The sequence below is a fragment of the Homo sapiens genome, chromosome 2 (assembly GCF_000001405.40).
Source record: "Homo sapiens chromosome 2, GRCh38.p14 Primary Assembly".
Lineage (NCBI taxonomy): Eukaryota > Metazoa > Chordata > Mammalia > Primates > Hominidae > Homo > Homo sapiens.
Window position 1 is genome coordinate 163258913 of NC_000002.12, and position 15492 is coordinate 163274404.

Sequence of the window (15492 nt, forward strand, 5' to 3'; positions counted from 1 at the left end):
AAATTAGGGGTCTCACAGCCTTCAGAGCTGAGAGCCTCGAACAGAGGTTTACTCACGTATTTATTAACAGCAAGCCAGTCATTAACACTGTTTCTATAGATATTAGATTAACTAAAAGTATCCCTTATGGGAAATGAAGGGATGGGCCAAAATAAAGGGATGGGTTGGGCTAGTTATCTGCAGCGGGAGCATGTCCTTAAGGCACAGATCGCTCATGCTGTTGTTGGTGGTTTAAGAATGCCTTTAAGCGGTTTTCCACCCTGGGTGGGCCAGCTGTTCCTTGCCCTCCTTCCCCTAAACCCACAACCTTCCAGCGTGGGCATTATGGCCATCATGAACATGTCACAATGCTGCAGAGATTTTGTTTATGGCCAGTTTTGGGGCCAGTTTATGGCCAGATTTTGGGGGGCCTGTTCCCAACAGTGACAGAGTGGGAGAATGTGATTAGTGAGTAGTTCTTTCCACCAACTTGAAGAGTCCCATCACTGTCCTGCTCTGAGGGATGGAGGAAGGTGGGAAGAGTCTGTGAAAAAAGAACAGCAGGAATTCAGGGTGAAGAAGATGTGGACTGTGTCTCCAGTGAGTACTTACTGAGTGATTTTCTCAGTTGTGCATATGAGTTTGCTTTCATCCTTCCAAACACCATCACATGGATTTCCCTTGTGACAGCTAACATATAAGTGCAAGTACCTGTGATGTGGGGTGTGATCCATAACCATTGCATACAACAAAGCAAATGGGTCCACACAGTAGTGAACTCTTGACCTTGGGTTTACTAGCTATGTGTTCTCATCAGTTGAGCAACCAGCCATGGATATATACAGGAAATGTGTCCTGCTGAACTTCAATGTCACTTCTTGGTCAGAACTCAACCTGAGAGATTAGCCAGACAAATCTTACACCAGAGAGCATGAAAGAGGGATAGCAATACAAGATCATTTTCAGATTTGGGATAGCAATACAAGATCATTTTCAGATTTCAGTTCATGTATATAACACTGACTAATAGCAGCTTCATCTCTTAGAGTATAACACTATTTGTGGTTTGTGAGTATCTAATTTGTTTAAAATCATTATGTGTTTTCAGTTTAAATTCATTATGTATTTTCAGAATCAGTTTTTTTCACGGATCATGGATGAAAAGTCATCAACAAATAATTTTTAGTAATAACAATATAAAAATTGTTCACAGCTAGATTTGTTTCATCAACTCTAAAGTGCTTCAGAAATTATAGATGAACCATGAAAAACATCATGATTTTATTATATTTTACATGTTATAAATATTGTATTAAATAATTTTAATGCAAATATAATTACTGAAATATAAAATATTATGAATATTCTCTCTTCTTACAAGTGAAATTTAAATTACATTATACAAAGCAAATCACAATTAGACATATCTTTCTAAAACTAATTGTTGAGCAATATCAACATATCTTCTAGAAGAGAAACTAAAATATACTATGGGAATAATTGTACTTTGAATAAACTAAATTTTATTATAGTGACATAGAAGACAGTGTTATTTGGAAATCAAGATATATTATAGAATACTCTTCAAATTTTCAAAGGTACAGTTGGTATCTTGACTTATTAAAATGGTAATAAAAATTGTGAGGCTTTTGGGAGTTCTTTCATTATATTATACTGCCTCCATTAACTGGAATACAGAGGAAATGAGGAATTCTTACTCCAACCAGAATAAAATCAAGTTAAGTCATGTTAAAGAACCATTTGTGTAAGACAGAAATAGTTAAATATTAGCTATTTTATATGGTTCAATGTAATAACTTTGGCTTTGATTTTTGTTGGCTATTGGTCACTTTCCTATTTAAATAAACATAACTTCTTACATACAAAACTTGTTTATTTTCATATAACTTTTTCTTTAAAAATCAAGTATAAAAGAGAGGATCTTAGTTAGTGAAGCTGTCTGAAAGTTAATTCTAGCTATAATTGAGAGATTAATGTCTCGAAATCCGGATAGAAACTAAAGAAATCATTTTACACATTTACAATGTTTTGTAACAAACGTGGAGGACTGAGTATTGGTATTTGATGTGAAATTTTTATTAAAAGTTCAAATTTGCAGATTTTCCAAGCTTTTCAAGAATATCTGAGCATTCTCTCAGTACTAAGTTTAAAAAAAGTTATGCACATAACACAGACAGGGTAAGTTGACAGCTGTATAGAAAATATTATTTTATCTGTGTGCACATAAATGATTACTACATAAGTTTATATATAGAGTATGTAAGAAAAGTTGTTGTCAAGTAATGTAAACACATAAAGGTGGATAAAATAAGAGTAGATGACTTTCAAAATGGGATTTTTTTGCAGTATATTTAGTACTGTTCTCTTTCAAATGCTTTTTTTGTTTGTTGCTTTTGAGGCTGGGAGGTTTGGGGCAAGAAAGATCACGAAATAGAGGTGTGAAAATTCAGATAGCATTTAATTAGTTTAGTTAGACTGTTAACACAAACATAATGGATTTTCAGCCTTTTCTCTTTTTTATCCTCTGACTTCAGGCAATTACACACCATCACTTCTTGAAGAAATTATTGTGCATTATTTCAGAAAATTGACTACTTGCACACTTAAGCCCAATCTAATTAATTCAATTTATTAAAATTGTTTATTCATCTTAAATCTAATTGAGCCTACTATAACCATAATTGAGCTCATTCATATAGTATTATCTTTGATGTCAGTGTAATTCATCTTTTCCCCCATTGGTACTAGTAAAAAAATGTTGGACAATATATAATTTAAAAACACTAATGTTACCAAAGATAGATTACATGTAACCATTCTAATCTGCCTCTGCCTGGCTCTGAAAAGTAATCCACAATTGGATTTTGTATTTTATGTGAGTGTTTAAAATTTCTTTTTGACATTTTATGATTTACCTTTTATTTTTTTCTACTGAATACACTGGAAACATCAAAAAATGGGAACTGATTAAAACAATATATATTTTTGAAAAATAAGACAATGGGGTAAAGATGGGGACTTTCAGGAGTAATTCCTATTTCCTCGTATTATGGAAACATGTATAGAAACTTTCCTTATTCAGCATAAGGAACTCAGTTATTACCAAGAATGATAACTCTACCTTGACTTTTCCTTTTTTTCTGAATTTCAAAACACTGCCTTGCTCAAACCCATTTGTATCCAGTGTTGTTGTTACAAACTCACTCCTAGAGATGGGTATGAAAGAGATGCCCTAACATTCCTGAATCTTAGGAAGTCTTAGACTTCTGCAACAATTCATTCTGGCAACATTAATTTATTCAACTTTGTTACTATCTAAATTTTTAGTATTTAGTTTTGGAGAAAAGAAATCATCTGAAATACTCCTCATACTGTATATGAAAAAAAGAAATGCATAGTCTTACTGGGGAAAATGAACATGACATTTAAGTAAAGACACAAATATAATAATATTCTTGACATTACTACAACTGTCACATAGCTCTGAAAGAAGCACACTGTTCTCTAGTTTTCACAGTGATTGCATCAATAAGCTAGGAAACAACTAAATATTTGCAACCAGCCAAAGGATACATGTATAATCCTTGAGAGGGAGATAAACATGGCCATCTACAACTAGAGATACCCATTACTTTATGAGAATCACTTTCTCTTGGCTCAAAGTGTCAATAAATCTTAGAATATTTCTAAGATATACAACAAATATAACTTATTATGGTTGGCTGGTTTTTCTATGTACTAATATAATTGGCCACAATTATCAGGAGGAACTTTAATAAAAGGAAAAAAAATTACTCTTATGCATGCTCAGTGTTCCAAAGTATTTTTATAACACTATTAGAGGACTCATATGGATTATATTTCTTACTTCTGAAATAAATTACGGTTTGGATCAGGAAGGAAGCAGTAGGACTAGAAAGGGGAACACTATAAGAAACATTGCAGAAAAACAAATACTTGTATAAGACTAGGTGACTTACCAAGTCATATGCAGGGGATGAAAAAGAAGGACATATGAGAGATGATTCCAAATTTTCTCCTATTAGAGTGTGCTTAAATCTACTTTCTTTCTCTTCCCCATTTGGAACTAGGCAGGTAAATACAGATTAAACTCAATTTAAACTTCTGCATGATAATGTGCAAAGGCATTTCCACTAATTTTTAAAGAAGAAATTTATATGTTTTATTTAAGGTATATTGAATTTGGAATGATGGTGTTAACACCAGCTGGAGATATCCAGCAGGCAGGACTGAAGCTCAGCAGAGTGTGTGGTCAACCACCTCTTAGAGTTATGAGGAAGCAGATGTAACAAGACATTCAATAAGACACAGTGCCAAAGTTCACCATCACTTTTAGGGCTATTAGTTACCTAATTTAAGGCTTCTTCTTGGATTAATATTATGCCAATGACTAATATATTATTAAAATTTTTCTTTGATAAACAGACTTTTAAACAAAAAATAAATTATCCCTAAATACTTGATGTATATGAAAACCTTTGTCTAAACTCATATTCTCAAAAGCCAGGAAAGACACAATTTGAAAGAGTGTTGATAGTGACAAACTCAGTTATCTGAAAGACATATACAGGCTGCCCAGGTCTTGCAATCTATTACCACATAGCATAATGCTGTCTACATTGACTGGGCCAGAAATACTTCATTTCACTAGATCACAATCTTATAAGACAGACTTGTCATTTTAATTTGTCACTCTTTGTCTCCTATATCTCATTGAAGTCTCATCTCTTAGCCAAGTGCCATAGGCTACTTCTCTTAGAAAAAAAAATCCCATCACACTGAATAAAAAGAGGAAAGTCAGTAAGAGAAAGTTTGTGTCTAAAGACGCTACTATAGATTCCATTCCCACAGGCATAGCAGGTGGTATAAATACAATCTAAACTGAGACAGAAAAATGAATTGTTGCTTCTATTTCCTGTCTCCAGAGTCTCTGGGAATGTTATATCTTCTTCTTCTACACAGCTATTGATTTCATCAATAGCTTATCATCCACAGAGCAAAGAGGAAGGGGAAAAAGGAAATAAGAGTATAGGAGGGCTAACGTCTGATATGTGGTCTGAGCCTGAAAAAAAAAAGTGTAGCAATTTTGAATTAATAAGGACAAAAGTCTACCTACTCTAGATATTCTTCCTGTTGATGTAAAAAATAGGTCATTATTTTTTTTATCAAACTTCCAACCGTTATCAAGAAGTGGCATACAAATATGAGGCACTTTTATTAAGCATTTGTGGTATTCAATAAACACAATATAAATATCTTACTGCATTCCACTGGCTCATTTCTCCATTCCCCTTCATGTAAAGTTAATTTAATTTTTTCCTGATCAATAATACCCTTCTTTCCTTTTTTATGCTTTGGAACAGCAATCATGGGTCCCCGCTGAGATTCCTATAACTCTTTAAAAGCATCAGTTGGTTTCACCACCAGAGAACTGGAGATAGCACTATCTGTATGTTTAACATACATTCCTTTCATCAAAATTCTTTACTTCCATTGGGCTTTACTTGAAGATATTTTGCCTTCATATGAGGGATTTAATTCATGACAGCATTTGCCAATTTTTTTCTGCAGTGGAGAAGATGATTACAGAATGAGTACTTATTCCTCTGTCCCACTAGGCTTTCTTTTCCTCCTCTTCCCCTGCGTGATTCACTGCTTGGCCAGTGAACTCCCACACATTCAGCAAAGAAACAAGACTTCCAACATTACTGGAGACACCTGGGAATATGGCAGGGCTGTTAAAACTGGCTGGCCATTTTCTCTAAGACTAAAAAAAACCCTCCAAAAACAAGACACATCCTCAAAATAAATCAAAGTAACAGCAACAAAAAAATGATGTCTAATTTTTAAACTATCTGTCTAAAGTCTTTGTGCCATCCCTTACATTTCTTCATACCTCACTGAGAAACTCTTATATGGAGCTATAAAAATGAATAAAAATTAATGTGAAATGAAATGACTTAATGTCTGTGTGAATGCCCGCTAATAGTTTCATAAAATATTAATGAAAAGTACATATTTAAAGCATAATTTAAGAACTAAAACCTAATATTAGAATAATATGTATTTAATTGTTCAGATGCCTTTCATATATGTGCTACTTGTCTTAAACTATATGCTTTTAGAGGTTAAAGACCACATATGTTTAACCAGTTCTGCATGCCATTAGGTGCAGGTAAGATGCATAAAAAGGGCTTTTAGGTGATGATCTGATACTAAAATTAAAAGTGTGTGTATTAACCTAAAGAGAAAATGAGTAAAATAATGAGTAAAGAGAAAATGAGTAAAATTAGTAAAACAGAGCTGGATATTAAAGACCAGAAAACAGGATTTGTTTCTAGCTATCCTCAGGAGCAAAGTTTTTTGGTTTCAGTGCTTCCTCTAGCTTATTGTCGTTCTCTCACTCTGCATCTGCTAGTACTGCAGCATTACTGAGGCCTCCTCTAATTTATACTTTTAGAATATTGCATGAGAAAATACTGTTATAGCAAGTTTTACCCTACAAGGATGCAAAAAACAAAATTAATAAATTGAATATTTAATATAAGTATGCACAGGGAGACATTAAACAAATGTTTCTTGATAAAGATAGCTACATATCTGCATGTTCACCTGCTCAAAGAACTATAGAAGCATCAGGAAAAACTAGAATATGAACCATGTTTCTAACAAATGATAGAATCAATGCATTGTACAAAAATGTAAGCTGAAAAAAGAACATAAAATTTAAGTTTTCAAATTTCTTTTACAGCACATATTATTCATTTATCAAATGAATCTGTTCAGGTGAAAATGATGACATAAACAATGAGCATCATACAATATAGAAAACAAAACAAAGTAAGTGAGTAGTCATCAAAATTCTGGATCATAAAATTGTAGAATGAAGGACTTAGGTTTTTTCCCTAGTATATGGTAAGACCTCACTTAATGTCTTTGATAGGTTATTGGAAACTGCTACTTTAGGCAAAATGATTATAATGAAACCAATTTTACCATAGCCTAATTGATAAAAATGAGAGTTCAGTTCCTATAGCATATTTCTGGTCACAAAAACATCACTGAACTTCTAAAGACCCAAAACACTGCCAAGATTGAACACTGAAATAAATGTGAGCTACATATACATTTAAGAAAGATTAATAAAAAAAGTAAGACAATTACCCAATTTATGGTGAATCAGTGAGTGACGATAGTAATAGTGGTAGTGAGCTGAATCAAGGAATAAATGTTTGCGTCCCCAGAAAAGACACAAACAGACATGGGGAGAAGCCAAAACTCCACACAGACTGTGGCCCGCAGAGAATCCATCTTTCTCTCATCAACATTACAATGAAATGATGGTGAACTAAATGACGTTATTGCAAAACCTGTGTAGTATACATTTGTTTAAATAAGTGCCATAGGTAATATCAGTGTTCATTTGTAATGGATTTATTGAGATAAGTAATTTACATACCATAATAGTCACCTATATAAATGTACAATTTAATGATATCGGTATATTATTTATGCAGATGTACAAACATCACCAAAATCCAGTTTTAGAACATTTCTACTGCCCAAAAAGTTCCCTTGTGCCTCGTATGCAGTTAATCCTTACTCTCGTGCCCAAGTTCTAGGCAACCAATGATGTGCTTTTGTTTAAATATGCCTTTTCTAGACATTTTAAATAACTGGGATCATATAATACGCAGTCTTTTGCATTTGGCTTTTTTTACTGAGCATAATGGTTTTGATGGTCATGTATCAGTAGCTCATTCCTTTTAATTGCTAAATAAGATTGCATTGTACACATACACCACATTTTATCCATTTATTAGTTAGTGGACATTTGGATTGTTTCTACACTTTAGTACTAAAGAATAATGTTGTCATGAACACTTGTGTACATATCTTTGTGTGGGAGTATATTTTCATTTCTCTTGGGTAGACTCCTAGGAAATGTATTTCTGTTTCATATGCTAAATTAATGTTTACTTTCTAAAAAACTGCCAAAAGGTTTTCTGAAGTGCCTGAGGCATTTTACATTCCTACCAGCAATATGTGAGAATTCCAGTTTCTTCATATCTTTGCCACCACTTGACATTGTGTGTCTGTTGGATTACAGCCATTTGAATGGATGTGTCATAATCTCTCACTGTGGTTTTACTTTGCGTTTTTCTTATGACTAAAGATGTTGAGCATCTTTTGATGTAATGTATGCTATTCACATGTTTTCTTTGGTGGAATTTCTATTAATATATTTTGCCTTTTAAAAATTGTGTTGTATGTCTTCCTTTAATTGAGTTGTAAGAGTTCTTTACATATTCTAGATACAATTACTTTATCAGGCACATGACTTGCCAAATTATCTCCCGGTCTGTGACTTGTCTTTTTATTTTCTTAATCATGTTTTTTGAAACACAGTTTTGAACTTTGGTGATTTCAATATATCATTATTTTATTTTATTATGGATCATGCTTTTTGCATATCTAAGGATGCATAACCCAAAGTTATGAGGGTGTTTGTTCCATATTTTTTTCTATTTTTTTAGAGGTTTTATAGTTTTTACTCATTTAGATCTGAAGTCTATTTTTAATTAATTGTGGTGGTGTTAGAAGGAGTCAAAGTTTTTTTAAGTTATTAATTAACACATGTGGATATCCAATTGTCCCAGCACTACTTTTTTAAAAGGCTATCCTTTTCCCATTGACTCTTTTTGTCATCTTTATTGAGTTCTCTTTATTTGTAAACTCTAAATTCTGTTGCATTATCTATCTTCCTTTCCTTGTGCCAGTACTACACTGTCTTATATGGTTTTAATAAGTTTTTAAACCAGGTATTGTTGTTTTCTAACTTTGTTCTTTTTAAAAGTTATTTTGAGGCAGGGAATGGTGGTTCACACCTGTAACTCCAGAGCTTTGAGAGGCTGAGGCAGGAGGATCACTTGAGGCCAGGAGTTCAAGACCAGCCTGGGCAACAAATCAAGACTCTGTCTTTACAAAAAAGATTTTAAAAATTAGCTAGCCATGGTGGCACACACCTGAGTGCCAGCTACTCAAGGGTCTAAGGTGAGAGGATCACTTCAGCTCAGGAGTTTAAGTCTGCAGTGAGTTATAATAAATCATACCATTGGCCGGGCAAGGTGGCTCACACCTGTAATCCCAGCACTTTGGGAGGCTGAGGCGGGCAAATCACGAGGTCAGGAGATCGAGACCATCCTGGCTAACACGGTGAAACCCCGTCTCTACTAAAAATACAAAAAACACAAATTAGCCAGGCGTGGTGGCGGGCGCCTGTAGTCCCAGCTACTCTGGAGGCTGAGGCAGGAGAATGGCGTGAACCCGAGAGGCGCAGCTTGCAGCGAGCCGAGATCGCGCCACTGCACTCCAGCCTAGGCAACAGAGTGAGACTCCGTCTCTAAATAAATAAATCATACCACTACACGCCATCATGGGTGATAAGGAGAGACTTCAATTTTTAAAAAGTTTTTAACTACACTAGCACTTTTATTTTTCATACAAATTTTAGGATCAGCTTGACGATTTCTATCAAAAGAGTTTGCTGGCATGTAATAGGAATTACAAAAAGTTTCGAGATCAATTGGGAGAGAGTCGTCATCTTCACAGTATTGAGACTCAATCAATGAACATGGGAAAATCTCTCCAGTTATACCAGTCTCCTTTAATATTTCTCAACAATGTTTTATAGTTTCTAGTATATAAGTCTCTAATGGAGAATTACATTGAATAGATTATATATTTATATATATATTATATATATTTATATAAATATAAATGCGACAAATATGTGTGGATTCTTTAGGATTTTCTGCATAGCAGATAACATCTGCAAATAAAGCCAGTTTTACTGTTTCCTTTAAACTTTGTATGTTTTAATTTATTTCATTTTTTTCTCATCTTATTGCACTAGCTAGAACCTCCAGTACAATGTTAAATAGAAGTGGTGAAAAAGTGGACGTCCTGGATTTGTTTACACTTGTAGAAGGAAAGCATTTTGTCTTTTACCATTCAGAATAATGGTAGCTGTATGGTTTTTTAGATGCTATTTCTCATTTTATAAAGTTCCCATCTATTACTAGTTTGTTGAGCGGTTTTATACACATAGCTGATGGTTTGTTAAATGCTTTTCTCCCTCAGTTTATTTGATCATGTGCTATTACTTTTTTAGTCTGTTAATATGGGGAATTACATTGAATAGATTTTTAATATTGACTATTAAAATATTGCAGTTGGAAAAAATAATACAAAGAGGTTTCTTTTACCCTTTGTGTAATTCCACCAATGGTAACATCTTACAAAAGTAAATTACAGTACCACAACTAGAATATTGGCACTGATACAATCCACTTATCTTATTCAGATTTCTGCAATTTTAGTTGTTTTTATTTATGTGTGTGTTTGCATGTGTAGATGTTCAGTTCTATACAATTTCAACACATGTAAGTTTGTATTATCAAGCATCACGGTCAAGATGCAGAAGAGTTTAATCACAAGGGTCCCTTGAGTTACCCTTTTATAATCACACTCAATCTCCTCCTTCCTCCCATTATGCCCTAACCCTTGGCAACTCATACTCTGTTCTCTATTTCTGAAATTTTAACTTTTCAAAGTGTTACATGAATGGAATGAATAAATTACGCAATCTTTTGTAATCGCCTTTTTTACTCAGCATAAATTTCCAAAATTCATCCATATTGTTGTAGTTCATTCCCTTTTATCTGAGTAGTATTCCATGGTAGATATGTACCTCAGTCTGTTTAACTATTCACTCTTTGAAAGAAATATGGGTTGTTTTCAGTTTGGGGCTTACATGAATAAGACTGCTAAGAACATTCATATACAAGTGCTTGTATAAACATAGGTTTTTATTTTTCCAAGAAAAACACCAAGACAGCATTTTTCAGTTCAGTAATTGTATGTTTAAAGAAATTGCCCAGGAGAATGGCATGAACCCCAGAGGCGGAGCTTGCAGTGAGCCTAGATCGCGCCACTGCATTCCAGCCTGGGTGGGCGACAGAGCGAGACTCCGTCTGAAAAAAAAACACAAAACAACAACAACAACAAAACAAACAAACAAAAAACAAAAAGAAAGAAATTGCCAAACTGTTATCCAAAATGCTTTGTGAATATTTTCTTCCAGTCTGCAGTTGTCTTCTAAACCTAACGGAATCTTTCAGAAAGCAAGCTTTTAATTTTTATGAAATCCAACTCATCAATCTATTTTTTTTTTATGAATAGTAGTTTTGATGTCAAGGCTAAGAACTCATTACCTTGCCCTAGGTCCTGAAAATTTTCTGCTTTATTTTCCTAAAGGTTTTACAGTTTTAAATCTGAGAGTCTGTGAGATATTTTGGGCTAATTGTTGTAAAAATTATAAAGTTTAGAACAAAAATTGGGAGATTTTTCTATGGAGTTTCAATTGCTCCAGCATCAAATGTTTAAATGGGTACCATTCTCCACTGAGCCAAATTGCATTTTAAACTTCTGTTGTTTTCTACCACTTCAGTCAAAAAACTCTGAATAATTTCAATAGTTATCATTATTGAGGTTTATTTATTTATTTATTGTTTAGGTTTATATATGAGGATATTGTATATTTTGTACCTGTTCTACAGATACTTGAAAAGAATATATATTCTGCTGTTTTTAAATGGGCATTTTCTATAAATGGCAATTAGATCCTATTGGTTGATGGTATTATTGAATTCTGTATCATTACTGATTTTTATCTCTCAGTTTTCTATTTGTTGAGAAGAGTGTTGAAATCTCGAGCTATTATTGTGAATGTGGTTATTTCCCCTTTCAGTTTTATCTCTTTGCTTCACACATACTCCTCTGTTGTTTGGTGCATTCACATTAAGGAATACTATGTTTTCTTTATTTTAACTTTTGTTTTCTTTTTAATTTTACTTTAAGTTCTGGGATACATGTGCTGAACATGCAGGTTCATATATAGACACATAGGTATACATGTGCATGGTGGTTTGCTGCACCTATCAACCCGTCATCTGGGTTTTAAGTTCCACATGCATTAGGTGTTTGTCCTAATGCTCTCTCTCCTTTTACACCCTACCCCCCGACAGGCCCCAGTGTGTGATGTTCCCCTCCCTGTGCCATGAGTTCTCATTGTTCAACTCCCAATTACGAGTGAGAACATGTGGTGTTTGGTTTTCTGTTCCTGTGTTAGTTTGCTGATAATGATGGCTTCCAGCTTTATCCATGTCTCTGCAAAGGGCATAATCTCATTCTTTTTTATGGCTGAATAGTATTCCATGGTATATTTGTGCCACATTTTCTTTATCCAGTCTATCATTAATGGGCATTTGGGTTGGTTCCAAGTCTTTGCTATTGTAAATAGTGCTGCAATAAACATATGTGTGCATGTGTCTTTATAGTAGAATGATTTATAATACTTTGGGTATATACCCATTAGTGGGATTGTTGGGTCAAATGGGATTTCTGGTTCTATATCCTTGAAGAATCACCACACTGTCTTGAGCGCCTAGAAAACTCTGTTTTCTTAATAAATTGACCCTTTGTCATTATCAAATATTTACCTATCCCAGATAATTTGCCTTGTTTTGAAATCTGCTATATCAAAACAAGTAATATAGCTACTCCTATTTTCTTTGGATTAATCTTTACATGATGTGTCTTTTTTTTTTTTTTTTAGTTTTAAGCTATTTATACCATTATATTGGAAAGAATATTATTTTAGATATGGTCTCAATTATTTTCACAATTTACACTTAATGTAACTACATTCGATGGTTTTATAAATTTTGCTTACATCATCTAACAGAATTCAGAACATTTAAGAAGAGTAAAAGAATATGTCATATTTATGCATATTTTTGTTCTATCTGTTGTATTCTTCTTTCTTCCTGATGTTGACAGTGTATCCTTTTATCATTTCCTTTCCATTTAGAGATTTCTCTTTAGTCATTAATTTAGGATAGGTTGTCTTAGAACCTGAAACTGTTTGATATCTTCATTTCTGAATGATAATTTCACAGCATTTTTTTCCTTTTAGCACTTCAAAACTATTGTGCCAACTTCCTCTGGTTGCCATGGTTTGTTTTTAAAAAAACTGTTGTCATTTTATTTGTTTCTTTCCTATACAAATTACGCGATTTCTCTCTGACTAATTTCCACATTTTTTTCTTCTTTTTCTTTTCGGAAATTTGATATGGAGATGTCTTGGTATAGATTTCATTGAATTTATCCTCTTAGTGGTTTGCTCAGCTCTTGAAACTATAGATATATACTTCCTGGAAATTTGGGAGGTTTTTTAGCTATTGTTTCTTTGAATACTTTTTTGGCCACACTTTTTCTCCTGTCTCTGAGACTGTGATGACACAATGTTAGATATTTTGTTATTGTCCCACATTTTTTTAAGATCTTATTCATTGTTTCCATCTATTTTCTCTGTTGTTTGGATGGAGTAATTTTTATTGTTCTATCCTCAGGCTCACTGATCCTTTCTTCTCTTCTTCTTATTCTGATGTTGAGCTCATTCATTGAGTTCCTATCTCAGTTACTATATTTTTTAGTTCTAAGATGTTCATTTAGTCTTTCTTTCCTCTTCTATTTCTTTTCTCAAATACTTTTATATCTTTGATGACACTTTCTATTTTTTATTTGTTACAAGCATGTTCATACTTGCTAGTTGGAATTTTTTTGTTAGCTGCTAAAATTTCATTATCAGGTCATTCTAATATCTGTGTCATCTCAGTGTCCATTAAGGCAATTCCCACTGCTACTTGTACTTTTATATTTCTTATGACTCCCTAAACCCATTTTATCTCTAGGTAGGGTTAAATTCTTCTCCCACGATCTGGATTTTCAAATTTTCCATGGGGATGTGTGCTCAGAGGTAGGTTTTTCCCCCTTTCACACTTTGGGAATTCACAGTTTTTCATCTGTTTCACAGAATTTGCAGTGGCATGCCACTTCTTTAAAAGGATCTATGAATTCTTTTGGTTTTCCTAGTACATTTCTGGTGTGGTTCTCAGAGTAGAAGATCATGGCATGAATCTCCACACACCATTCTATCCATCCATATGGGAGCTACACATTAGCCCTGTCTCCTATTCACCTTCTTTCAACACTGCTCCCTTTCCTTCTTTTTTTTTTCTCCTCACTGGATAATTTCAAATGACCTGTATTTGTGTTTACTATTTTTTTCTTCTGCTTGACAATTTTCCTATTGATACTCTCTATTATATTTTTTACTTCATTCATTGTATTATTCAGCTCCAGAATTTGTTTTATTCTTTCTTATTTTTATCTCTTTGTAGACTTCATCCTTTTGTTCATACATTACCTTCCTAATTTTTTCAAGTTACCTATTTGTGTTCTCTTGTAGCTTGTTGAGCTTCCTTAATTCTTTTTTCTGGCAGTTTATGATCTCCATTTCTTTAAAATCTGTTACTGGAATGTTGTGTTCCTTTCATGGTGTCATGTTTTCTTAATTGTTTGTTTCTTGTAGCCTTGCTTACATGTCTTGAAGACTTTATAGACTGGTTTTGTGGGGGAAAAAATCTTCAGCATGAGTGGGTGTGAGAGTACTGGCTCAATGTAATGTGGTGGTTCTGACTCTGGTGAGGGAAGAGCATAGTCTTTATGTAGCTTCATTACCTGAGGTTAATATTGGCAAAGATGTCAGGGATCCTCAGTGGCCAAGGCTGTGGGTTTCTACAGCAGCAGTGAGGACTTTTTGGGTTTTTGGTGGCAAAGACTGCTAGGATCCTCCCAATCTCTCTCTCTCTCTCTCTCTCTCTCTCTCTTTTGGTTTATGGAAGATGTCATGGCCAAGAAGATTCTTCTTGGCACCAGTTGTAGCTTCCATGCATGCTCACATTGGCAGCATCACTGGTGCCAAATGTGTGACAACTGTGGAGCAGCCATTGAGCCAGGGTCTTGAGTGCAGGCTCATGTGGAAGGATTGAAGCTCCAGGGTCCAGAGCAGCAGTGATGCCAGTACCCAGCATGCAAGCACCCCCACTGCAATGTTAGTAACAGTGTGCAAGACATGGATGCTTATGAAGCAGTTCGGGTGTGGGGTACAGAGTGCAGGCAAACAAAGAGACATAGGTCCAGAATCCAGACATGGGAGCTCTCACGGTGGCAGTGGCTTTTCTTTCCTTTTCTTTTCTTTTTTGAGATGGAGTCTCACTCTGTTGTCCAGGCTGGAGTGCAGTGGTGCAATCTCGGCTCACTGCAACCTCTGCCTTCCGGGTTCAAGTGATTCTCCTGCCTCTGCCTCCTGAGTAGCTGGGACTACAGGTGCCCACCACCACGCCCAGCTAATTTTTGTATTTTTAGTAGAGACAGGGTTTCACCATATTGGCCAGGCTGGTCTCAAACTCCTGACCTTGAGATCTGCCTGCCTCCACCTCCCAAAGTGCTGGGATTACAGGTGTGAGCCACTGCGCCCGGCCTAGCAGTGGCTTTTCTGTCCTA

At 34.5% G+C, this 15492-nt stretch overlaps 1 long non-coding RNA gene across 1 annotated transcript in view; it reads left to right on the forward strand.

The window, feature by feature from the left end:
- The first annotated feature begins 411 nt into the window (after positions 1-411).
- The window catches only part of LOC105373727 (uncharacterized), a 70096-nt gene continuing 55015 nt past the window's right edge, over positions 412-15492 (forward strand). Inside the window, exon 1 of the long non-coding RNA XR_923547.2 lies at positions 412-579. This is a non-coding gene — a long non-coding RNA (uncharacterized LOC105373727). The remainder of the gene's footprint in view (positions 580-15492) is intronic.